This window comes from Homo sapiens, chromosome 4 (assembly GCF_000001405.40).
Source record: "Homo sapiens chromosome 4, GRCh38.p14 Primary Assembly".
Lineage (NCBI taxonomy): Eukaryota > Metazoa > Chordata > Mammalia > Primates > Hominidae > Homo > Homo sapiens.
The window spans coordinates 45,059,942-45,066,164 of NC_000004.12; the positions used below are offsets into that span (position 1 = coordinate 45,059,942).

Consider the following 6,223-nt stretch of genomic DNA (forward strand, 5'->3'; position numbering starts at 1 on the left):
TAGGCCTAAGCATTAAAGTTATAATTATAAAACATCAAGAAATAAAGTGAAAAATACATCTTTCTGGCTTTTGGATAGGCAAAATTTTTAAGAATCAAAAATCATAAATGACAAATAAATTAATTTTATGAAAAGTAAAAATATTACAATGAAATAATATGTAAATGTGAAATGATATAGAATCAATTATAAAACCATAAAGCAGATACATTAGTCTGTTCTCACACTGCTATAAAGATCTCCCTGAGACTGGGTAATTTATGAAGAAAAGAGGTTTAATTGACTCACAGTTCTGCAGGCTTAACTGGAAGCATGACTGAGAGGCCTCAGGAAATTTACAATCATGACAGAAGGGGAAGGGGAAGCAAGCACCTTCTTCACATAGCAACACGGCAGAGAGGGTGTGAAGGGGGAGGTGCTACATGTTTTCAAAAATCCAGATTTCCTGAGAACTCTATCACAAGAACAGTAAGGGGACATCCATCCCCATAATTCAATAATTTCTCACCAGGCCCCTCCTTCAACACTGGGAATTACAATTCAACATGAGATCTGGGTGGGGACACAGAGCCAAACCATATCAACAGACACGAAAAGTATAAATCATATCATTCTATTTATATGAAATTTCATAACAACTAAATCTGGTATAAGAAATCAGAATAGTAGTAGTTTCTGCAGGTGGAGTAGAGAGTGACTGGGAATAGCATTAAGTTATCCCTACAATATAGTTTGGATATGTGTCTCCCCCCAGATCTTATGTTGAATTGTAATCCCTAGTATTGCAGGTGAGGCCTCATGGGAAGTGATTGGATCATGGGGGTGGATTTCTCATAAGTGGTTTAACACCATCCCCTTCGTGCTCTCCTCATGATAGTGAGTGAATTATTGTAAGATCTGGTTGTTTAAAAGTGTGGGCACATTCCTCAAACTCTCTCTTGCTCCTGCTTTTGCCATGTGATGTGTCTGGTCCCACTCCACCTTCCGCCGTGAATAAAAGCTCCCTTATACCTTCCCAGAAGCCAAGCAATGTGTTTCCATGCTTGCACAGCCTACAGAACTGTGAGCCAATTAAATCTCTTTGTATATATATAAAGAAGGAACTTCTTGGGTTGATGAAAATATTTTTTATCTCAGTAAATATGTGGGGTACATGAATGCATGCAATTGTCAAATGCATTGAGATGTTAAACTTAATATCGTGAAAATGGCCATACTGCCCAAAGTAATTTATAGATTCAATGCTATCCCCATCAAGCTACCATTGACTTTCTTTGCAGAATTGGAAAAAACTACTTTAAAGTTCATATGGAACCAAAAAAGAGCCCGCATAGCCAAGAGAATCCTAAGCAAAATGAACAAAGCTGGAGGCATCACTCTACCTGACTTCAAACTATACTACAAGGCTACAGTAACCAAAACAGCATGGTACTGGTGCCAAAACAGATATATAGACCAATGGAACAGAACAGAGCCCTCAGAAATAATGCCACACAACTACAACCATCTGATCTTTGACAAACCTGATAAAAGCAAGCAATGGGGAAAGGATTCCCTATTTTAAAAAATGATGTTTGGAAAACTGGCTAGCCATATGGAGAAAGCTGAAACTGGATCCCTTCCTTACATCTTATACAAAAAATAACTCAAGATGGATTAAAGATTTAAACATAAGACCTAAAACCATGAAACCTCTAGAAGAGAACCTAGCCATTACCATTCAGGACATAGGCATGGGCAAAGACTTCATGACTAAACCACCAAAAGCAATGGCAACAAAAGCCAAAATTGAAAAATGCAACCTGATTAAGCTAAAGAGCTTCCGCATAGCAAAAGAAACTATCATCAGAGTGAACAGACAACCTACAGAATGGGAGAAAATTTTTGCAATCTATCCATCTGACAAAAGGCTAATATCCACAATCTACAACAAACTTAAATTTTTAAGACAAAAACAAACAACCCCATCAAAAAGTAGGCAAAGGATATGAACAGACACTTCTCAAAAGAAGACATTTATGCAACCAACAAACATATGAAAAAAAAGCTTATCATCACTGGTCATTAGAGAAATGCAAATCAAAACCACAGTGAGATATCATCTCATGCCAGTTAGAATGGCGATCATTAAAAAGTCAGGAAACCACAGATGCTGGAGAGGATGTGGAGAAATAGGAATGCTTTTGCACTGTTGGTGGGAGCGTAAATTAGTTCAGCCATTGTGGAAGTCAGTGTGGTGATTCCTCAAGCATCAAAACTAGAAATACCATTGACCCAGCAATCCCATTACTGGGTATATACCCAAAGGATTATAAATCATTCAACTATAAGGACAAATCTACAAGTATGTTTATTGTGGCACTGTTCACAATAGCAAAGACTTGGAACCAACCCAAATGCCCATCAATGATAGACTGGATAAAGAAAATGTGGTACATATACACTGTGGAATACTATGCAGCAATAAAAAAGGATGAGTTCATATCCTTTGCAGGGTCATGGATGAAGCTGGAAACCATCATTCTCTGCAAACTAACACAAGCACAGAAAACCAAACACTGCATGTTCTCACTCATAAGTGGGAGTTGATCAATGAGAACACATGCGCACAGGGAGGGCAACATCATACACCAGGGCCTGTCTGGGGGCTAGGAGAGGGATAGCATCAGGAGAAATTCCTAATGTAGATGACGGGTTGATGGGTGCAACAAACCACCATGGCACAAGTATACCTACATAACAAACCTGCATGTTCTGCACACGTACCCTAGAACTTAAAGTATATATATCTATATAAAGATCTGTGAATTTCACTGCTTGTGAATTACACGTCATTAGAAAATGTTAGCCATTCTACCTACCAGTCTATATTCTTCTGATTTAATTTTTGTTTTTATTTTAATCAATATTGATTAAAGTTAAGAGTTAAAATCTCCACAGTCTCTGAGGATAAAATGGGCTAAGTGCAGTTAAATTTCATTGGCATTGCCTAAAGTTTATAATCTGAGAGTATACGTTGTTTTTGCTTTAAAGTATTCTGTTGCTTGACTTGTGGAAACATGTGCAACATGTTTATTTATTTAGTTGTCCATTAGTAAAATGCAATGTTCCATTTTGAGGAATGATTTTTATACTGCTCTGCACTCAGTGATTATCACAATTCTAAACAAACATGCTCTGTTGGCTTAAACCCTAATTCTAATATGGTGTTACACTATAAATGATTATATGGTGTGTAAGCCTAATACTCTTCCCATCATTTTATGGCATTCAGGCTTCATGCATTTGGGGAAGGCTTTCTGATGTCAAATGTATTTTCAGTTTTCTAAGCAGCCCATTTCTTGAAGGACTGGCAAAAGGAAGCTATTCTGACAATTTGGCTGAACTCATGGAAATTTCAGGCTGGGCCAGATGGTAAGACTCAGCTGTTGTGTGAAGCAGGTAAAGGCAGCATTTAAAATGCTACTGGCAGTTTTCCTGAGACTTGACAACAACAGATGTTCTGGATTTCTTTTTCCTAAAATGTTCTCCAAAATCACAAATTATGTGGCATTATGTTTGTTTTGCAGACAAAGGAACCTTTTCCCACCAGAGTGATAAGTGATTGTGATTACTTTAATCTTATTGTCAGAACTTTAGCACTAAATTCAATATGATTGAGATAAGGTGCAATTTTGGTTATTTTTCACTAAGACAAGGCTGTGTAAGGAACACGGAGAAAATGTATTATTATGATGGGTTGTCAAAAATGATAGACCCCAGCCATGCAAAAGCCATCATGCAAAGCACTGGCAAGAGATGGGCAGTTTTGGACTGTGTCCACAAACTGCTTTGCTCAGGCTCAGAGGGGTTTTGTGTGTGCTTGTGTGTTGACATCACAGCCAAGCACTGAGATATGTCAATTTTGCAAAACTGAATTGTATTTGTCATTTTAATCACCAAAATTACCAGCACTATTTCAGTTAGCTGGTCATTAAAGTGACTGAATTAGATTGACTGCTCTTGATCTGATTGCTCACTAGGAAATTGATCTTCAAAAAGACATTCCAGGCAACTGTGATAATAAGCCATGACAATGTGATGCTAAACAGCTGTGAATTGGGAGCTCCTCCCATGAGCCTAGTGTTTTTGCTCAGCAAAGAGTAATGGGAACGTTTAAAGACTTCGTGGAAATTAACAAAGTAAGTGTTTTTCACTTCAATGGAAACATTACTTAATGCAAGAAGCTAGCTAAATTTAAAAGAACAGAAAATGGATTGTTCACATCTTAACCTTTTCTCCTTTGTTAAACTCACTATTTTATGGAGTTTAAATAAAATTTCAAGAAAATACTTCTATGCAACTGGGTAATTTTTACTTAAAATTCTAACTTCAGGAAGGCCAAGAACAACAACAAAAACAGCGTATTAGTAAACTATAATTCAACAGGTGCAATGTTTTAAAAGGAAGCTGTTGGAAGATGCATTTTTCCAGGTTTGGAGAATATGGTAATAATAAATCTTTTATTTCTGTTGGCTTCTCCCAAACTACCATTTCCCCCTCATGTTCTGACATACTTCTTCACTGCTAGCTTGCTGTGTGAACCTTCAGTCCATTTTAAATTACCTAAGTAATTATATGTAATTTCTTTTCTTTTTTTTTTCTTTTTCTTTGAGACAGAGTCTCATTCTGTCGCCCAGGCTGGAGTACAGTGGTGCAATCTCGGCTCACTGCAACCTCCGCCTCCCGGGTTCAACCGATTGTCCTGCCTCAGCTTCCCGAGTAACTGGAACAACAGGCGCCCGCCACCTCGCCTGGCTAATATTTGTATTTTTATTAGAGACGGGGTTTCACCATATTGGCCAGGCTGCTCTCAAACTCTTGACCTCGTGATCCACCAGCCTCGGCCTCCCAAAGTGTGGGGATTACAGGCTTGAGCCACTGCACCCGGCCTGTAATTTCTATCTCTGAAAGATCGGTCTGCACCATTGTCTGGAAATTTTGTTTGCTGAAGCAGTTGCTGTAGTCCTTCATCCCCTTCACCGTGGCTGCTCTTCCTGTATATGGATATGGATGCTTTACTGCTGTGCTTGTATCCAAGCTGGCACTGGATCGTGCATATCTTATGCTGACTGAAGGTAAGAAAAAATATCCTTCATTCATTTGTTCAGTATTTTGACAAATAATTATGGGGCTTATCTATATACTATGAGTTAGCATCTTATATACAAAATTATTTAAGTCAGATAAACATTATAAATTTTTCTTCTAATTAGGAAGCAGAAGACCTTTACTGGTCACATAATTTCTTAGTTCTAGCTCAGGCCAGGGCGTCCTTTCAGACTGTAGCTCAAAGCCAGCTGTGGTTCATTTTAGGCATATTAATACATGCTGGAAGAGCCCTGCTTCTTTCAGGACGTAAGAGGTTCTGACCAATGTCATTCTTCTTCTAAACTTGAGTGTCAGAGCAGTTAAAAGATACAAGAGTGTCATAAGGCAAATAATGACCAAAATATAAACTTTTTTACAGAGGAAGTAAATAATAAGACAATGGTTTATATCTGCATATAAAAGGGATATAAGCTAACTTACCTATTCATTTCAACGGCAGAGGCTATTTGTAGAATGTATAGCATGGTGAATCCAGCAAAGTAGTGCCATTTATGGGAAGAAAAAGGGGTGAGGGACACATGCCCAGTTCATCAGATGAAGTTGACCCTTGCCCCTTGGGGATATTAGGTGAAGGCACTGGGAATGCTGCCAAGAGGGTTAGAGGAGCTTCCATGGAAGGAAAAAACCCTCCCCCTGCAATAAGATTTGCTACAATCATTTCTCCTCTACCCATCAGTAGGGGAGGAGAGCTTCCACTGAACTTACCTCTTTTTCCTTCCTAGAAACTAGTCTTTTCCTCTTCAGCTTCCATTTGGAGTCAGACATTAATTCCATAAAGTACTCTCTGGAAATGGTCTTTAAGTGTAGACATAAATGATGCAAAAAAGCTAGGACTGTGAATATCCAGGGGTAGAATTATCTGGACAGGTGAAGCAGAAAATGCAAGGATTCCTTCAAAGGAAATATAAGGTACAGAAATAAGGTCATTGTGGTTAAAAGTAAGAGAGAAATGGGCAGGACATGAGCTCACAGAGATGCACAGAGGCCATTTCACTGGCTTTGCAAGGTGAATAATTGGATTATATTCTATTTACAATATAAAACCCATGGAAACTCATAAGCAGGAAAGTGC

General features: G+C 38.3%; 1 annotated feature.

Moving 5' to 3' along the window:
- Nucleotides 4,489-5,688: an enhancer, noted in NCBI's record as "BRD4-independent group 4 enhancer chr4:45066447-45067646 (GRCh37/hg19 assembly coordinates)". NCBI's record gives its function as "activates an origin of replication core promoter dependent on BRD2, P300/CBP, MED14 and CDK7 cofactors, and independent of BRD4, by STARR-seq in HCT116 cells {active_cell/tissue: HCT116}" and the evidence as "EXISTENCE:reporter gene assay evidence [ECO:0000049][PMID:35650434]".